Source organism: Homo sapiens, chromosome 10 (genome assembly GCF_000001405.40).
Source record: "Homo sapiens chromosome 10, GRCh38.p14 Primary Assembly".
Lineage (NCBI taxonomy): Eukaryota > Metazoa > Chordata > Mammalia > Primates > Hominidae > Homo > Homo sapiens.
Genome location: NC_000010.11, coordinates 32,206,953 through 32,227,721, shown reverse-complemented (window position 1 = coordinate 32,227,721; position 20,769 = coordinate 32,206,953). Strand labels below are relative to the sequence as shown.

The following is a 20,769-nucleotide window of genomic DNA, read 5'->3' as shown; positions in this document are numbered from 1 at the left end:
CACCACTGGCTCCTTGCTCCTCAACTTGCAGACGGCCTATCATGGGACTTTACCTTGTGATCACGTGAGTCAATTCTCCTGAATATGCTCCCTTTCATATATACATCTATTCTATTAGTTCTGTCCCTTTAGAGAACCCTCACTAATACATACACCAACTTACCTCCCTCATTCATAGACTCCTGGTCCTTTCCACCCCAACTCTAGACATTACCTAGGGGATTTCATGCAAATGCCCCTTGTAACAAGTTAGTCCCTTAATTTTTCCAACATTTTTGTCATTGCAGCCCAGTTTTGACTTGTAAAATGTTGGAGACGCACATCAAACAGGTAACAAAAGACTCAAAATGGCATTAAATAAGTCAGCAACAATTTCAAAACTGTCATGACTACGGAACATCAGCATCTCGTGATGTCTGTAAAATATCCACAGTTGCCGCACTCCTCAGAGGTGTGAGGCTGTTTGGGTAGAGCAGCTTCTTGCCTTGACTGATGATGTACCCACATCTCACATCGGTGGTTTCCAGTTGCAGCTGTATCCCAGCACAACTCAGTATTCCTACTTCATGACTCTGCTCAGCTCCCTCACCTCTACCCATGTGACCCTCCACAAGTCTCTCTCTGTTGGCCAGGGTGGTCTTGAACTCCTGGCCTCAAGCAATCCTCCTGCCTTGGCCTCTCAAAGTGCTGGGATTACAGATGTGAGCCACCACACTCAGCCTCCACATCTGTCCTTTCAGCTAGAACTTTGTCCTCTTGGTCAGGTGTGGTGGCTCAGGCCTGTAATCCCAGGGCTTTGGGAGGCAGAGGCGGGAGGCCTCTTGCTTGAGGCCAAGAGTTCCAGACCAACCTGGGAAACATAGTGAGACCATGCCTCTACAAAAATTAAAAATATTAGCTGGGCATGGTGCCAAGTGCCTGCAGGGCCAGCTACATGGGAGGCTGAGGTGGGAGGACTGCTTCAGCCCAGGAGGTTGAGGCTGCAGTAAGCCATGATCATGCCACTGCACTCCAGGTTGGGTGACAGAATGAGACCCTATCTCAAATAACAATTTTTTTTTTTTTTTGAGAGGGAGTGCACTCCTTTTGAGAGGAGTCACCCAGGCTGCAGTGCAGTGGCCTGATCTCGGCTCACTTCAACCTCTGCCTCTCGGGTTCAGGTCATTCTCCTGCCTCAGCCTTCCGAGTAGCTGGGCTTACAGGCACATGCCACCATGCCCAGCTAATTTTTGTATTTTTAGTAGAGACGGGGTTTCACTGTGTTGGTCAGGCTGGTCTCAAACTCCTGACTGGCCTCCCAAAGTGCTGGGATTACAGGCATGAGCCACCACGCCCAGCCAAAAACTTTTTTTTATTATTATTTCTGAGTATCAAAAGATACATTTTAACTTCAGAACAACTTTTAAATTAGCCAGAATTAAACACAGCCTGCTTTAATTTTCCCTAATGTAGTTACATGTATCAAATGTATCAACGTCAGCACTAAGCCCTTAGGAAAGGAAAAAGGCCAATTTGTTGAGAATTGTTACAAAGAACTGGCTGCCCCTGTTCTCCTCTCTTATTCCCAAAGCCCAACTCGGTCAGAATCTGGGCATTCTTCACCCCAGGGTGGGCGTGGCTGGTGACAGCTGAGGATTTTTGTTTTGTTTTGTTTTTGTTTTGTTTTGTTTTTGAGACAGTCTCACTCTGTCTCCCAGGCTGGAGTGCAGTGGCGCGTTCTCGGCTCACTGCAAGCTCCGCCTCCCGGGTTCACGCCATTCTCCTGCCTCAGCCTCCCGAGTAACTGGGAGTACAGGCGCCTGCCACCACGCCCGGCTAATTTTTTTGTATTTTTAGTAGAGACGGGGTTTCACCGTGTTAACCAGGATGGTCTCGATCTCCTGACCTCGTGATCCACCCCCTCGACCTCCCAAAGTGCTGGGATTACAGGCGTGAGCCACCACGCCCAGACAGCTGAGGATTTTAATGACTTCTTCCGGTCCATGTCTTGACTGTTCTGATTCTGCTGGCACATTGATTTAAGGGATTAGGAGGGAAATAAATGTTTATTCAACTGTTAGTGTATCAGAGAGAGAAAGTTCTTCTCTTTGGCTTCTAAGGAATGTCCCATGTTAAGCAGCTTTTTACTAAGTCAGAAGCCTTGACTCTACAGTATAGGGCGGATAAGTGAGCACTCCAGGGTGAGTCCAATATTTCTTTAAAAATGCCCCCACTGGCCGGGAGCACTGGCTCACGCCTGTAATCCCAGCAATTTGGGAGGCTGAGGTGGGTGGATCACCTGAGGTCAGGAGTTCGAGACCAGCCTGAGCAACATGGTGAAACCCCATCTCTACTAAAAATTGAAAAAAAAAAAAAAAAAAAAAAAAATTAGCCTGGCCTGGTAATGCATGCCTGTAATCCCAGCTACTTGAGAGGCTGAGGCAGGAGAATCGCTTGAACCCGGGAAGTGGAGGTTGCCGTGAGCCAAGATCGCACCATTGCACTCCAGCCTGAATGACAAGAGCAAAAATCCATCAAAAAAAAAAAAAGCCCCCGCCCCCAACTTCAGTCTATTCCCTCTAAAGCTGTTACATTAGCTTTAATTGGCTTGCTTCCTCTTAAACAACTTCAGAGGAATTGGGGATGGTTGTTACTATTGGTTTAATTCCTTTATCTTACTTGGTAATAATTTGGTAATAACCAGTTAGAAATCGAAACACTCTTTTGATAAAATCTCATAGTTGCATGTCTCTGACCCTTCTTTCCTTGTCACATCTCTCTTGGACCACAGGTGGGAAAGGATCTCAACTTATTTTTCATTTTTCTTTTCCTCCTCCTCCTTCTTTTTTTTTTTTTTTTTTTTTTTTTTGAAATAAGGTTTTGCTCTGTCACCCAGGCTAGGGTGCAGTGGCACAATAATAGCTCACTGCAGCCTCTGCTTCCTGGCCTCAAGTGATCCTTCAATCCTCCTGCCTTGGCCTCCCAAATTGTTGGAATTACAGGCATGAGCCACTGTGCCTGGCTGGTTCTCAACTTTTAAGGGCACATGAGATTAGCTTGGGCTCACTAAGATAATCCAGGATAATCTCCCATCTCAAGGTCCTTAACTTTAATCACATTGCAAAGTCCCTTTGTCCATGTAAGATTCTGAGGTTCTGGGGATTCACACATGGACATCTTCATGGGGTCGTGATTCTGCCTACCATGAATGATACATTTAAACCTTCAGTAACTGAATTTTGTGCCATAATTCTTCACACATGTAAGAGCATCATGCAGTGGGAACAGTTCACTAGTGTGGATTGTTATGTCGATGGTCACCTGTTGAGTACACATAGGGCTAAAGCCAGGAGGACTTGGTTGGTCTGTTCAAGCTATCCTCCAAGAAGTAAAATCTATGCACTGTTAGAAACACAGAGAAGGCCAGGCACAGTGGCTCACGCCTGTAATCGCAGCACTTTGGGAGGCAGAGGTGGGCGGATCACGAGGTCAGGAGATCGAGACCATGCTGGCTAACACGGTGAAACCCCGTCTCTACTAAAAATACAAAAAAAATTAGCAAGGCGTGGTGGCGGGCACCTGTAGTCCTAGCTACTCGGGAGGCTGAGGCAGGAGAATGGCGTGAACCCGGGAGGCAGAGCTTGCAGTGAGCCAAGATGGCACCACTGCACTCCAGCCTGGGCAACAGAACAAGACTCTGTCTCAAAAAACAAACAAACAAACAAAGAAAACAAACAACAACAAAAAAGAGTTAAGTTCTTGTGGCATATTTCTGCTCACAAAAACATCACCACACTTCTAAGTAAAGACCAAAACACTTTAATGTTGATTTTTTTTTTCAGAGTGTTTGCTGTTGGTACATGTAAATGCAACTAATTTTTTTTTTTTTAAGAGACAGGATCTGCTGCTCTTTTGCCCTTGCTGGAGTTCAGTGATGTTATCGTAGCTCACTATAACCTCCAACTCCTGGGCTCAAGCAATTCTCCCGACTCAGCCTCAGGAGTAGCTGGGACTACAGATTTGTGCCACTACACCTGGCTGATTTTTAAAATTTTTTGTAGAGACAGGGTCTCACTAGGTTGCCAGGTTGTTCTCTAAGTCATGCCTCAAATGATCCTCCTGCCTTAGCTTCCTGAGTAGCTGGGACTACAGGTGTGAACCATCATGCCTAGCCTTGCTACTGATTTTTGTATATGAATTTTATATTCTGCAACTTTGCTGAATTCACTGATCAGTTCTAACAGTTTTTTCGTAGCGTCTTTAGGTTTTTTTAGGCATGAGATCATGTCATCTGTGAACAAGGCTAATTTGATTTCTTCCTTTCCAAACTGGATGCCCTCTATTTCTTTCTCTTGCCTTATTGCTTTGGCCAGGACTTTCAGTGTTATGTTAAATAACAGTGGTGAAACTGGGCATCCTCGTTTTGTTCCCATCCTTGGAGGAAAGGCCTTCAATTTTTTCACATTAAGTATGATGTTAGCTGAGGCAAAGCACTTCTAATATTAAACATTGAAATAAATGTGAGCTCTACATACATTTAAGAAAGATCAATAAAAACAAGTAAGATAATTATTTACCTGCTTATTTCCAATTCAGGGTCAAGAGTGGCCGGAGTCTATCCAAGCAGCTCAGGGCACAAGATGGGACCCAGCCTCAGACAGGACTCCATTCCATCACAGGGCACACTCACACACCCCCACACTCACTCATACTGGGACCATCTGAGACAACAATTCACCTAAGGTGCATGTGATACAGTTTGGCTGTGTCCCCACCCAAATCTCACCTTGAATTGTAGCTCCCATAATTCCCGCTTGTCATGGGAGGGACCCAGTGGGAGGTAACTGAATCATACCGGCAGGTTTTTCCCATGCTGTTCTCGTGATAGTGAATACATCTCATGAGATTTGATGGTTTTATAAAGGGGAGTTCCCCTGCACATGCTCTCTTACCTGCTGCCATGTAAGACATGCCTTTGCTGCTCATTTGCCTTCTGCCATGATTGTGAGGCCTCCCCAGCCATGTGGAACTGTGAGTCCATTAAACCTCTTTCCTTTATAAATTACCCAGTCTCGGATATATCTTTATTAGCAGCATGAGAACAGACTAATACAGCATGGCTTTGGGATGTGGGAGGAAGCGGGAGTACCCAGAGGGAATGCATGCAGACAGAGGGAGAACGGGCAAACCACAAAAACAGTGGCTCTGGCCCAGGACCAATTTCTTCTTCTCATCCACATAATAAAATAATGTTGAATGAAATGATGTTATTTGATGACCTGCCTATTCCACAGGAGAGACAAAAGTACATAATGGTCATGAAACTGGATCACTGCGGGGGCACTCCTTAATTGAGGTGCACATGGTCCCTTTTGTTAGGAGAACAAATTGATTTTAAACTCAGGCACAAAGTCTGGCTGAGAAAATGATGAACTAAAAAAAGACTCAAATAACTTAACTTTAAAAAGATTTTAATAAATGTTTTCCCAATCCCATTGGCAGCCTCAAGTGAATAAGGAATGTTTTCCCCATCATTTTGGGCATCATTATCAAATAGCTCGACACAAGTGCATTTTCTGGCAATCTCTTCAGATGGCTTCTTTTAAATTTGTTGAACAAAAGTTACTTACATCACTTTGGTTAGAAACTCTCAAAAGAGTAAATTATATGTAATCACCTCTCAAATTATGAATGCACGTGAATTAGAATTCTTGATGCAAGTTAACATCAAAACTAAAACATTTTCATTAATGTCGATCTTCAAAATTTTCTTCAGCTATGTGAAATTGAGCTGAATAGTTTTATTTTTGACCAATCTTTCTTTCTTTCTTTTTTTTTTTTTTTTGAGGTGGAGTCTTGCTCTGCCGCCCAGGCTGGAGTGCAGTGGCACAATCTTGGCTCACTGCAACCTCTGCCTCCTGGGTTCAAGTGATTCTCCTACCTCAACCTCCCTGGTACCTGGCACACACCACAACGCCCAGCTAATTTTTTTATTTGTAGAGATGGCATTTCGCCATGCTGACCAGGCTTATCTTGAACTTGACCTCAAGTGATCTGCCCGCCCGGCCTCCCAAAGTGCTGAGATTACAGGCATGAGCCACCACACCTTGCCTGACCAATCTTAAATAATTTTTTTCTCATTGGAGAATCATTTAGTAAATATACTACTGTTTACATTTACTTTATTTATTAATGATTTACTTTATTTCCTTAATGATTTACTTTATTTCCATATATGGATTTACTTTATTTCCATTTATGGCAAGTGATACCAGTTTTCCACATGTGGTAATAATGTAAACTTTTCTTCTAAAATATATTTATTATTAGTAAAAATGAGTAAATTAAGGAAAATAGTATGCACTGAAATTTGGAAAACACTAGCATAACAAATATGAAGTATTTGCTTAATACTTTTAAGCTTGGCAAATAGTAAATACATAATGAAAGATAGCTACTATTTTTTAGATACTTTTAGTTACTTTTTAGTTAAATTATTGTGAAATTCTACATTAACATGATTTAATTTACCATTTAAAATTTATTTAACAATTAGATATTCCCTGTCCACAACACGCCAGGCCCTGGGAATTCAAAGATGAAAATGAATGAAATAGACCCTGCTTCCAAAGAGCTACCATTTTGGTGGTGAGAGAGATATTAAATAACCAGTAAAAATATAATGGTTTTGTTTTTGTTTTTTGAGACAGAGTTTCGCTCTGTCACCCAGGCTGCAGTGCAGTGATGCGATCTCAGCTCACTACAACCTCCGCCTCCCCGGTTCAAGTGATTCTTGTGCTTCAGCCTCCCGAGTATAGGTGCGTACCACTACGCCTAACTAATTTTTATATTTTTAGTAGAGACGGGTTTTCGCCATGTTGGCCAGGCTGGTCTTGAGCTCCTGACCTTAAGTGATCTGCCCACCTCGGCCTCCCAAAGTGTTGGGATTACAGGTGTGAGACACTGTGCCCAGCCACAATATAATGTTTTATGTATTATTATTGGAGCTATGTACAAAGTGCAGTAGGAACAGAGGGGAATAGCCCCGAGGTTTACCGAACAGGGTCAGGGAATTCTTTTTTTTTTTTTTTCTTGAGACAGAGTCTCACTCTGTCACCCAGGCTGGAGTGCAGTGGCACGATCTTGGCTCACTGCAACCTCTGCCTCCCAGGTTCAAGCAATTCTGCTGACTCAGCCTCCTGAGTAGCTGGGATTACAGGTGTGTGTCACCACACCCAGCTAATTTTTATAGAGACGGGGTTTCACCATGTGGTCCAGATTGGTCTGCAACTCCTGGCCTTAAGTCATCCACCTGCCTTGGCCTCTCAAAGTGCTGGTATTACAGGCATGAGCCACCATGCCCAGCTGGGAATTATTATTTTTTTTAACTTTTATTTTAGGTTCGGGGTACATGTGCAGGTTTATTATACAGGTAAATTTCATGTCACAGGGGTTTGGTGTACAAATTATTCCGTCACCCAGGTAATGAGCATAGTACCCAATATGTAGCTTTTCCATCCTCACTCTTCTCCCTCCCTCCACCCTCTATAAGGCCTCAGTGTCTATTGTTTCCTTCTTTGTGTCCATGTGTTTTCAATGTTTAGCTCCCACTTATAAGTGAGAACATGTGGTATTTGGTTTTCTGTTCCTGTGTTAGTTCACAGGAACAGTATGCAGCCATACTGACAGGATTATGGCCTCCAGCTCCATTTATATTGCTGCAAATGAGATGATCTCCTTCTTTTTTTATGGCTATGTAGTATTCCATGGTGTATATGTACCACATTTTCTTTATCCAGTCTACCGTTGGTTGGCATTTAGGTTGATTTCATGTCTTTGCTACTGAGAATAGTGCTCTAATGAACATACATGTGTATCGGGGGAACCAGCCCCCAATATTTTAACGTAGGTTCTTTCTATTTTTCCCTAAATATTGGCCGGTTTGAGAAATAAAGAGAAAGAGTACAAAGAGAGGAATTTCACAGCTGGGCCTCTGGGGGTGACATCACATATTGGTAGGACCGTGATGACGACCCCAAGCTGCAAAACCAGCAAATTTTTATTAGGGATTTTAAAAGGGGAGGGGGTGTACGAACAGGGAGTAGGTCACAAAGATCACATGCCTCAAAGGGCAATAAAGATCACAAGGTGAAGGCAAAATTAGAACTACTGATGAGGGTCTATGTCCCGCTGTGCACATATTATCTTGATAAACATCTTAACAGGAAACAGGGTTCGAGAGCAGAGAACTGGTCTGACTAGAATTTACCAGGCTGGAATTTCCCAATCCTAGTAAGCCTGAGGGTACTGCAGGAGACCAGGGCGTATTTCAGTTCTTATCTCAACAGCATAAGACAGACACTCCCAGTGTGGCCTTTTATAGACCTCCCCTGAGGAATGCATTCCTTCCCCAGGGTATCCATTATTAGTATTCCTTGCTGGGAAAAGAATTCAGCGATATCTCTCCTACTCACACGTCCATTTATAGGCTCTCTGCAAGAAAAAAAATATGGCTCTATTCTGCCCGACCCTGCAGGCAGTCAGACCTTATGGTTACCTTCCCTTGTTCCCTGAAAATCACTGTTATTCTGTTCTTTTTCAGGTGCACTGATTTCATATTGTTCAAATACATGTTTTACAATCAATTTGTACAATAGTGGTCCTGAGGTGACGTACATTCTCAGCTTAAGAAGATAACATGATTAAGAGATTAAAGACAAGACAGACATAAGAAATTATAAAAGTATTAATTTTAGGAACTGATAAGTGTCCATGAAATCTTCACAATTTATGTTCTTCTGCCTTGGCTCCAGCCAGTCCCTCCGTTCGGGTTGCTGACTTCCCACAGCATGCATGCATGTGTCTTTATGGTAGAATGATTTATATTCCTTTGGGTGTATGCCCAATAATGGGATTACTGAGTCAAATGGTAGTTCTGTTTTAAGTTTTTTGAGAAATTGCCAAACTGCTTTCCACAATGGCTGAACTGATTTACATTCCCACCAACATCTGTTATTTTTTGACTTTTTAATAATAGCCATTCTGATTGGTGTGAGATGGTATCTCACTGTGGTTTTGATCTGCATTTCTCTAATGATCAGTGATGTTAAGCATTTTTTCAAATGCTTGTTGGCTGTGTGTATGTCGTCTTTTGAAAAGTGTCTGTTCATGTCTTTTGCCCACTTTTTAATGGGGTTGTTTTTTGCTTGTTGATTTGTTTAAGTTACCAAGGAAAGCAATTGAACAGAAATGTGAAGGGTGAGTAAAGGAAACCACAGAGTTCCCTAATATGGAGGGTGAAGCTTGTGGAAGGGAACATGGGCCTGCAAGGCTTCACAGGACGGCAGGGGCAACCCTGAAGGCCTTTGTGTGCCAACCCCAGAAGTTTAGATTGTATCATGTGGTTAGCAGGGAGTCACTGAGTAACTTTGTTGTGGGAAGTAAAATACAGGTTGAGTGTCTCTTATTCAAAATGCTTGGGATGAGCAGTGCTTCAGATTTCGGATTTTTTCAGATTTTGAAATATTTACATGTACTTAATGAGATATCTTGGGGTTAGGACCCACGGCTAAACATGAAACTAATTAATGTTTTAACGAAACAGAGTCTGAAGGTAATTTTATACATTATTCATACATTTTATACAATTCATACATCCATACGATTTATACATTAACATTATTCATTAACATTTTATATACACCTTATATGCAGAGTTTGAAGGTAATTTATGCAATATTGTAAATAATTTTGTGCATGAAACCAAGTTTGTGTTAAGTACTTATGTGTGGAATTTTCTACTTTTGGTGTCATGTCGACACTCAGAAAGATTCTGATTTTAGAGCATTTCAGATTTCAGATTTTTATATTAGGGATCCTCAACCTGTAATCAGATTTGTATGTTGGAAAAAAAATTATTCAAGCAGGAGCAATGTGAAGAGACCATTGGAGTAGAAAATGTTAGAGGCAGGGACGATGGCGTGAGAGCCATGCAGACCTAAACCCGGGCAGGACCTACAGAGAAGATGCGAGAGAGAAGGAATGGCCAGGTAGAAGAGTTTGCTGGACTTGGCGATGAATGGGATGTGGAGAGAAGGGGGAGACCCCCAAACCTACCAGATTTCTAGATATCCTGCAGTAGGTTCCACTCTTTCAGTCAAACCAGAACAGCATCCTTTGCAGCCATACTGACACTATCATGCAAATTGACAGGAACCATTTGGTTTCCAAATCAGGCAACTGTTGAATGCCTTGTCTTTGGAAATCAGTATTTCATTCACAATACTGCAAATGCCTGCTAATGAGTGTGACTTGAACAGATGTTAAAATAATGTTTTGGGTAACTAGCGTGCTCTATGAACAAGGTTAGAATCTTCCCATTACAATTTTCCACCACCACACACCTGGCATCTTTGCTGATTGAAACTGTTTGATATCATTCACCATAAATCCTTCTTATCTGGCTAATGCAGCATGAAATTATGTCAATTGAAGCAAAACATAATACACAATAAACACTGGCAAAACCAGTGACTATGACAGCAGCTTTGCATATGGAGTACAAAACAGGTTTTTGGTTTTTTTTTCTTTCTTGGAACATATGGCCAATTCTTTTCTTAAGTGAAATGCATAAAACAAAATAAGGAATGTTTGCTAAATGAGCATTGTAAAGTAAAAATTCACTGGTGATGGAAATAGCAATAAGGTGCACAAAAAGGATCATGGATAAAATTTTCTCTGTCAGAAAGTGGTTTTGACAACTTGGTGTCTTGCAAGTCTACGCAGATCTACTACACCAAATACTCAAGACAAACCTTCAGGGGCAGTCACCGAAGACACACAACTCTCCCATCCTCTGCAGAACTTCTTACTTCTTTGCTCTTACTTAATTTAACAGTTAATCCTTAATAATAACATTTACTGGCCAGGCACACTGGCTCACACCTATAATCCTAGCACTTTGGGAGGCTGAGGCAGGAGGATTGCTTGAGGCCATGAGTTTGAGACCAGCCTGAGCAACATAGCAAGACCTTGTTAATATAAAAAATAAAGAAATGGCTGGGTGCAGTGGCTCAGGTCTGTAATCCCAGCACTTTGGGAGGCCAAGGTGGCTGGATCACCTGAGGTCAGGAGTTCAAGACCAGCCTGGCCAACATGGTGAAACCCTGTCTCTACTAAAAATACAAAAATTAGCTGGGCGTAATGGTGGGCACCTGTAATCCCAGCTATTTGGGAAGTTGAGGAAGGAGAATTGCTTGAACCTGGAAGGCAGAGATTGGAGTGAGCCAAGATCGTGTCATTGCACTCCAGCCTAGGCGACAAGAGTGAGACTCCATCTCAAAAATAAATAAATTAATTTAAAAAATTAGTCAGATGTGGTGGTGTGTGCCTTTAGTTTCAGCTACTTGGGAGGTTGAGGTGAGAGGATCACTTGAGCCCAGGAGTTTGAGGTTGCAGTGAGCTGTGATCACGCCACTGCACTCCAGCCTGGACAGCAGAGCAAGACCCTGTCTCAAAAATAAATAAAACAAAACAAAAAAACCATTTATTGAGTACTTACTATCAGCCAGGTATGAGCTAAAAGCTGTGCACATATGACCTCAATCTTCTTAACAATATTGTAAGGCAATTATTATTATTACTCTCTTTTGTTGTTGTTGTTGTTGTTGAGGAAATCAAGGCACAAAGAGCTTTATAAATGAGTCTAAAGCTGGATAGCTAGGAAGTGGCAGAGCGAGAATTCAGACCTGGAGAATTCTAAGTGCAGGGTGACTCCACTGCCTGTAAGTGATAGGAGAAGCTTGGTGGCCACAGGGCCTGGAGTCATATTTTAAGTTCATGCCTGAAACAAGGTCTCTGCATGAGAAACCAGAAAACCTACTACGTTCTTCATATCATTGTAATTCAGCTAGAAAAAATAATTGAAAGTGATACTTCATTTGCAAGAATAAACCCATCACCACTGATAAAAAGAAAGCTTCAATATTTGCATAGGTTCAAGAATAATCTGTTCTCCTTTTTACCAAAAATATAATGGAAAAGTCAACTGTGCAATCAAGACCAAACCTGATATGTTATAATTGAGAAGGATTCTCTTTCAGTCAGGTCTAAACAGGTACTGCAGGTGAGACCTGGTAGGGTGTCTTGGGCTTGGTAGTTGCTCAGTATTCGAGGGCTCTAGGTTTGTAGAGCAAACTCAAGTTGGCCTAATAGTTAATTAATATTCTTGCTACATCTCTGTAAACAATCAAGCCAACTATCTAGACAAGCCCTTTTGTGATTGGGACTCATCTTTGGAGATTATTTTTTATTGCAAATGAGGGAGATTGTTAGAATAATTATGCAAAATTGAAAATAGGCAAAAGAGATTTCTGAGTGTTCTTTCAGTGTGGTGCTAGGTTTGCTCTTTGATTTAATTTCGATCAATTGGGCTGTTTTACAATTCCTTAAAGGTTAACCTAAACAGGTCTAGTAGAGGTGCAAATAGTTTCTGTCTAGTGGAAAAGATAAGCCCAAAAGTTAAAATTTATTGCCTTGTAGGATATTAAAGAGTTTTTAAAATCTAACTTGTCAATCTTATCCTAACAATCAAAAGATTTTAAGGCCAGGTATGGTGGCTCACGCCTGTAATCTCAGCTCTTTGGGAGGCTGAGGCCGTAGGATTGCTTGAGCTCAGGAATTCAAGACCAGTCTGGGCAATGTAGCAAGACCCCATCTCTACAAAAAATAAAAAATCGGGCCAGGCACGGTGGCTCATGCCTGTAATCCCAGCACTTTGGGAGGCTGAGGCGGGCAAATTGCTTAAGGCCAGGAATTCAAGACCAGCCTGGCTAACATCTCTACTAAAAATACAAAAATTAGCCAGCGTTGTGACACACACTTGTAATCTCAGCTACTTGGGAGGCTGAGGCACTAGAATCACTTGAACCCAGGAGGCGGAGGTTGCAGTGAGCTGAGATCACGCCACCGCACTCCAGCTGACAGAGCAAGATTCCATCTCAAAAAAATAAAAAATAAAAAATCATCCGGACGTGGTGGTGCACACCTATAGTACCAGTTACTTGGAAGGCTGGGGAGGGAGGATCCCTTGAGTCCAGGAGTTCAAGTACAGCCTGGGCAAAGGAGCAAGACCCTGTTTCTAAAAAAATAAAAATAAAAGATTTTAAGGGCTGATAAGCGCCCAGTTCTGCAAATTCTCCTTGAGCCAGTATTAATATCCTACCGGCTTCCTCATTAATTAATGAGTTGACTAAAATATTTGACATATGTTCTTTATATGTTTGCATTAAAGTATGATTTTACCTATATTAGCAGAGGTTCAAATGTTTGTTAAATAAATACAGAGTCACACAGATGAAAGCCCAGAGTGTGCACTTTAAAGACCTGCACAGGGGGCTGATGCTATTTTTGTGGATCCAGCCTGATACGGTTTGGCTGTGTCCCCACCTAAATCACATCTTGACTTCCCACATGTTGTGGGAGGGTCCCAGTGGGAGGTAACTGAATCACGGGGGCAGGTCTTTCCCATGCTGTTCTTGTGATAGTGAATAAGTCTCATGAGATCTGATGGTTTTAAAAAGGGGAGTTTCCCTGCACAAGCTCTCTTCTCTTGTCTGCTGCCACGTGAGACATGCCTTTCATCTTCTGACATGATTGCGAGGCCTCCCCAGCCACGTGGAACCATGAGTCCATTAAATCTCTCTCTTGTAAATTGCCCAGTCTTGTGTATGTCTTTATCAGCAGTGTGAGAATGGACTAATGCACAGTCCATGCTCCACCCACAAAGTCACTGTCCTGTTGTAAGGCTGCATCCATCCAGAAGACTAGCACTTTTTTCCTCATGCAAAGATGCTCTGCACACAGACAGGGCATGGTGGCTCACATCTGTAACCAGCACTTTGGGAGGCTGAGGCTTGTGGATCGTTTGAGCCCAGGAGTTTGAGACCAGCCTGGGCAAACATAGTGAAACTGCGTCTCTACCAAAAATACAAAAAGAAAAGAAAAGAAAAAAAAATAGCTGGGTGTGGTGGTGCACATCTGTAGTTCCAGCTACTTGGGAAGCTGAGGTGGGAGAATTGCTTGAACCCGGGAGACAGAGGCTGCAGTGAGCCGAGATCACACCACTGCACTCCAGCCTGGGCAACAGAGCAAGAACCTGTCTCAGAAAAAAAAAAAGATGTACTGCACACAATGTGCTTGTGTAGTTACTTTCCTCTAATTTACACAAAGGCACTTAGAGGCTAGTGGTAGCCCTAAATACCTCTGCCAAAGTAACAAATACATTTTAAAATTGTAAAACCCAACGAAGTATGTATTTCATGAAAACTAATGTAAATATATTATGGGTAACCTGGAAATATTTTCAGTCTCTGGAAAGAAATCTGTCAATACATAACCAGCTATAAAACTCTGTAATTTTAATTCAATGATTCTACTTTAGGGTATATTACCTCAAGAAGATAGATTCTCCCCTTTTCCTCCTCCAAAACCAGATATGTATACATAGCAGCACATTAATAACATCAAAAAATTCTGGTTAGGCCGGGTCCGGTGTCTCACACCTGTAATCCCAGACTTTGGGAGGCTGAGGTGGGCACATCACCTGAGATCGGGAGTTCGAGACCAGCCTGGCCAACATGGTGAAACCCCATCTCTACTAAAAATACAAAAATTAGTCAGGCATGGTGGTGGACCCCTGTAGTCCCAGCTACGTGGGAGGCCGAGGCAGGAGAATAGCTTGAACCTGGGAGGCAGAGGTTGCAGTGAGCCAAGAGTGTACCACTTCACTCCAGCCTGGGCAACAGAGTGAGACTCTGTCTCAAAAAAAAAAAAATTCTATCTGGGTATAGTGGTTCATGCCTTTAATCCCAGCACTTTGGAACACTGAGATGGGAGGATTGCTTGAACTCAGGAGTTCGAGACCAGCCTGGGCAACATGGTGAAACCTATTTTGTATATTACAAAATATACACAAATTAGCCGGGCATGGTGGCACATGCTTGTAGTCCTAGCTACTCAGGAGGCTGAGGTGGGAGGATGACTGTAGCATGAGACAGGGTGGAGGTTGTAGTGAGACAAGATCACACCATTGCACTCCAACCTGGGTGACAGAGGGAGATAGTGACTCAAAAAATAAATAAATAAAAATTAAAAAATTCAAAACACTATACATAGTCACACAATAGGCTATGTCAATACCTGAACTATTTCTATAAACTAATAGTATGTAAAAAAGGGCCAGATAAAAAACATCTAAACTGCTTGATGGCAGGATTGTGTATCGCAACCTCTGTAGCACCCAGCATGTGGCAGGTATGTTGCTCATTAAAAGTATGAAAACAGACTAAATTTGTATACTGTATTTACACTAATATAATATTGTAGCCTAGGCATGGTGGCTTATGCCTGCAATCCCAGCACTTTGGGAGGCTAAGGCGGGAGGATCACTTGAGGCCAGGAATTCGAGATCAACCTGGGCAACATAGTGAAACCCTGTCTCTACAAAAAAATTTAAAAATTAGCTGGGCATGGTGGAATGTGCCTGTAAGTCCCAGGTACTTGGGAAACTGAGACGGGAAGATCACTTGAGTCCAGAAGTTTGAGGCTGCAGGTGAGCCGTGATCATGCCACTGTACTACACTCGCCTGAATGACAGTGTAAGACCCTGTTTCCAAATATATATCTCAGCATTAGCATTTTTGGGTGCTATATATGTAACAATACTATATAAAACATATAGTATTGTTAAGTTATTAAGCATATATAAGTATCCAATTCCAATGAGGCTGGAAAAGACTAGAGCCATGTTGTAGAAGCTCTGGGTGCCAGGTTGTGGAGTTTAAACTTGACACTGGCACAAAGAGCTGCAGAATGTTTTTCAAGACAAGAAGCAACATGATGGGCTGGGTGCGGTGGCTCACGCCTGTAATCCCAGCACTTTGGGAGGCCGAGGCAGGCAGATCACTTGAGGTCAGGAGCTTGAGACCAGCCTGGCCAACATGGGGAAACCCCATCTCTACTAAAAATACAGAAAAGTTAGCCGGGCATGGTGGCAGGCGCCTGTAACCCCAGCTACTCGGGAGGCTCAGGCAGGAGAATCTCTTGAACCCAAGAGACGGAGGTTGCAGTGAGCCAAGGTCACACCACTACACTCCAGCCTGGTCAAAAGAGTGAGACTCTGTCTCCAAAAAAAAAGAAAAAAAAAAAAAAAAAAAAGAAGCAACATGATGAAACCAGTATCATAGGAAGTAGTTGAGATTATTTGGAGAAAAGTTAATGTGGGATAAAGATGTCTCCAGTACCCCGGTCTTGAAAGCTGGCAGAAGATTAGGAGTGAAAGATTCTTTGTTTATATATGGTAGAGGAGAGCCTGACTCTTAAGTGTAGGAAAAAGCCTGATATTCTTATTCTGTAAAGCTGGTTTAAAAATTTCTAATTAATTTGCTGTTACCCAGGGTGGAGTGCAGGGTGCAATCGTAGCTCACTGCAGCCTCCAATTCCTGGGCTCAAACAATCCTCCCACCTCAGCCTCCCAAGTAGCTGGGACCACAGGCACACACCACCCCCAACTGGCTAATTTTTTACTTTTTTATTTTTGTAGAGACAAGGTCTCACCATGTTGCCTAGGCTGGTCTCGAACTTCTGGCCTCAAGTGATTACTGCCTCAGCCTCCCAAAGTTCTGGGATTACAGACGTGAGCCACCATGCCGGCCTTTAATAGTCTTAATTTTCTGGAAAGTCCCAGCTGACCCGGTTCATCGTGAAGCTAGAAACACCCTGGATTTCCATGGGATTATCACTAGAGGGCAACCTAATCATATCCGCTCAAAGTGGTGTTCTCACATTAGCAGCAAGAGTGCGTTTGTGGCGTTTATTAAAAATGCAGGCTCTGGGGCTCCCCCTGAGACCTACAGAGTCAGAATTTGCATTTAAAAAAAATCCTCAGTGATTGGCTGGACTGCAACTCCTGGGCTTTAGCGATCCTCCAGCCTCAGCCTCCCCTGTAGCTGGAACTACATGTAGCGCCATGACGCCCAGCCGAAGTCACATCTTTAAGTAAGGTTCAGCTCTTGCAATCAGTCTGTCTGGGAAATCAAAGGGCATCAACCCCTCATAGCACGGTAGGAAAGGGAAGAAAGGGACGGAAGGAAGTGGCGCTGTCTATTATCTATGGGCAAGGCCTAGTGTTTTAACCAGACTGGATCTTGGTGGACAGGAGCCGCGCGTGGGAGTGACTCAGTGCATCTTTGCAGTTGTGCCTCCACATGAGGGCGCTGGCGAGTTTGGGGCAGTGGTCACTATAGGCTCCATTTCCACCTTTTATGCTGGTGGAATCCCACCAGCTCATATGGCATTTCCCTGGAGTCTTACTGCTCTCAAAGAGCAAGGCTGGGCTTGCCCTGGACCCAAGGAGATAGGATTGTGCAGAGGAAGTCTTCCGGGCTGGAAAAAGCACATTCCCAGAGCAGTAACCAGAACCTGGACCGTCTCTGGTTACAGTTCAACCACGTTCGAAAATCTAAAGCAACAGTTCTCAATTTACCAGCGCTTCAGAATGCCCTGGAGGGCTTGTTAAAACCTAGATTGCTGGGCAGCACCCACAGTGTGTCCGCTTCAGTAGGTCTGAGGCGGGACTGGAGAATTTGCATTGCTCCTGCTTCCCAGGTGATGCCGATGCTGCTGACTGGGGACCACACTTTGAGAAGCATTGCTTGAGGCCAGGAGTTTGAGGCTGCCGTGAGCTATGATTGTGCCACTCTACTCCAGCCTGGGTGACAGGGTAAGGTCTTGTTTCTTAAAAAATAAAATAAAAACCTATTGTAAATACCTAGGAATCCAACTTACAAGGGATGTGAAGGACCTCTTCAAGGAGAACTACAAACCACTGCTCAATGAAGTAAAAGAGGACACAAACAAATGGAAGAACATTCCATGCTCATGGATAGGAAGAATCAATATTGTGAAAACGGCCATAATGCCCAAGGTAATTTATAGATTCAATGCCATCTCCATCAAGCTACCAATTACTTTCTTCACAGAATTGGAAAAAACTACTTTAAAGTTCATGTGGAACCAAAAAAGAGCCCGCATTGCCAGGTCAATCCTAAGCCAAAAGAACAAAGCTGGAGGCATCACGCTACCTGACTTCAAACTATGCTAAAAGGTACAGTAACCAAAACAGCATGGTACTGGTACCAAAACAGAGATATAGACCAATGGAACAGAATAGAGCCCTCGGAAATAATACCACGCATCTACAACCATCTGATCTTTGACAAACCTGACAAAAACAAGAAACGAGGAAAGGATTCCCTATTTAATAAATGGTGCTGGGAAAACTGGCTAGCCATATGTAGAAAGCTGAAACTGGATCCCTTCTTTACACCTTATACAAAAATTAATTCAAGATGGATTAAAGACTTACATGTTAGACCTAAAACCATAAAAACCCTAGAAGAAAACCTAGGCAATACCATTCAGGACATAGGCATGGGCAAGGACTTCATGGCTAAAACATCAAAAGCAATGGCAACAAAAGCCAAAATTGACAAATGGGATCTAATTAAACTAAAGAGCTTCTGCACAGCAAAAGAAACTACCATCAGAGTGAACAGGCAACCTACAGAATGGGAGAAAATTTTTGCAATCTACCCATCTGACAAAGGGCTAATATCCAGAATCTACAAAGAACTTAAACAAATTTACAAGAAAAAAACAAACAACCCCATCAAAAAGTGGGTGAAGGATATGAACAGACACTTCTCAAAAGAAGACATTTATGCAGCCAACGGACACATGAAAAAATGCTCATCATCACTGGCCATCAGAGAAATGCAAATCAAAACCACAATGACATACCATCTCACACCAGTTAGAATGGTGATCATTAAAAAGTCAGGAAATGGCCAGGCGCGGTGGCTCATGCCTGTAATCCCAGCACTTTGGGAGGCCGAGGCGGGTGGTTCACGAGGTCAGGAGATTGAGACCATCCTGGCTAACATGGTGAAACCCGTCTCTACTAAAAAGTACAAAAAATTAGCCAAGCATGGTGGCAGGCATCTGTAATCCCAGCTACTCGGGAGGCTGAGGCAGGAGAATGGTGTGAACCCGGGAGGCGGAGCTTGCAGTGAGCCGAGATTGCGCCACTGCACTCCAGCCTGGGTGACAGAGCGAGTCTCTATCTCAAAAAAAAAAAAAAAAAAAAAAAAAGGCAGGAAACAACAGGTGCTGGAGAGGCTGTGGAGAAATAGGAACACTTTTACACTGTTGGTGGGACTGTAAACTAGTTCAACCATTGTGGAAGACAGTGTGATGATTCCTCAAGGATCTAGAACTAGAAATACCATTTGACCCAGCCATCCCATTACTGGGCGTATACCCAAAGGATCATAAATCATGCTGCTATAGCGATACATGCACACGTATGTTTGTTGCGGCACTATTCACAATAGCAAAGACTTGGAACCAACCCAAATATCTATCAGTGATAGACTGGATTAAGAAAATGTGGCACATATACACCATGGAATACTATGCAGCCATAAAAAAGGATGAGTTCATGTCCTTTGCAGGGACATGGATGAAGCTGGAAACCATCATTCTCAGCAAACTATCACAGGAACAGAAGACCAAGCACCGCATGTTCTCACTCATAGGTGGGAATTGAACAATGAGAACGAACACTTGGACATAGGGTGGGGAACATCACACACTGGGGCCTGTCGTGGGGTGGGGGGAGGGGGGAGGGATAGCATTAGGAGATATACCTATTGTAAATGATGAGTTGACAGGTGCAGCACACCAACATGGCACATGTATACATATGTGACAAACCTGCACGTTGTGAACATGTGCCCTAGAACTTAAAGTATAATAATAAAAATAAATAAATAAATAAATAAATAAATAAATAAATAAAAACCCATTGCAAACTGCCTAGAGAATTAAGTACAGATTAAAATACCACCTGCCCAAGCCCATTAGGATTTCAGTCTCCATTCAAGCAAACAGGCCTCCTACTTAAAAAACTGACCTGTTGCCTCTACCTCCATAACCCACCAGGTGGGGCTGCTGGGCTGCCACAAAGGAGGCTGGGGAAATTTCCACGCTGTCAGGGCACCCACAATGCTTTGAAGGGTGCCAAGAGCACCTTAGCTTCATCCTAAAGAATGTAAATATTTCAGGTTACCCATAACCAATAGCACAGTGTGCTACCCCTGGGTCTTCCCACCGCTCCCCACCACCTCATTAATTTCCCCCCACCTCCTTACATCACTCCAGGGCATTCTGAAGCGCTGGTAAATTGAGAACTATTGCTTTAGATTTTCCAACGTGGTTGAACTGTAACTAGAGAAGGTTCAGGTCCTGGTTACTGCTCTGGGAATGTGCTTTTTCTGGAAGACATCCTCTGCACAATCCTATCTCCCTGGGTCCAGGGTTTACAGTGAACTTTTTTAAGGTAAGGTATTGTATTCTATTAAAATGCAAATAATCTCAAGGGTGATGTCTTAGTCTGTTTGGGTTACTATCACTAAATTGAGTGGCTTATAAACACCAGAAATTATTTTTGTTCAGGAGGCTGGAAGTCCAAGATCAAGGTGCCAGCAGACCAGGATATGGTGAGGGTCCTCTTCCAGGTTGCAGACCGCTGACTTCTTGTATCCTCACATGGCGGGAAGAGGGTGAAAGAGCTAGGGTCCCTTTTACAAGGGCACCAATCCCATTTGTGAGGACTCCACCCTCATGACCTAATTACTTCCCAAAGGCTCCACCTTCTAATGCCACCACATG

The 20,769-nt window shown here is 43.0% G+C and overlaps 3 annotated features.

The window, feature by feature from the left end:
• Positions 19,887-20,181: an enhancer, noted in NCBI's record as "tiled region #5551; HepG2 Activating DNase unmatched - State 12:CtcfO, and K562 Activating DNase matched - State 12:CtcfO". NCBI's record gives its function as "activates a minimal TATA promoter and a strong SV40 promoter by Sharpr-MPRA in HepG2 cells, with weaker activation in K562 cells {active_cell/tissue: HepG2 | K562}" and the evidence as "EXISTENCE:reporter gene assay evidence [ECO:0000049][PMID:27701403]".
• Positions 19,887-20,221: a biological region, named in NCBI's record as "Sharpr-MPRA regulatory regions 2209 and 5551".
• Positions 19,927-20,221: an enhancer, noted in NCBI's record as "tiled region #2209; HepG2 Activating DNase matched - State 4:PromP, and K562 Activating DNase unmatched - State 12:CtcfO". NCBI's record gives its function as "activates a minimal TATA promoter and a strong SV40 promoter by Sharpr-MPRA in HepG2 cells, with weaker activation in K562 cells {active_cell/tissue: HepG2 | K562}" and the evidence as "EXISTENCE:reporter gene assay evidence [ECO:0000049][PMID:27701403]".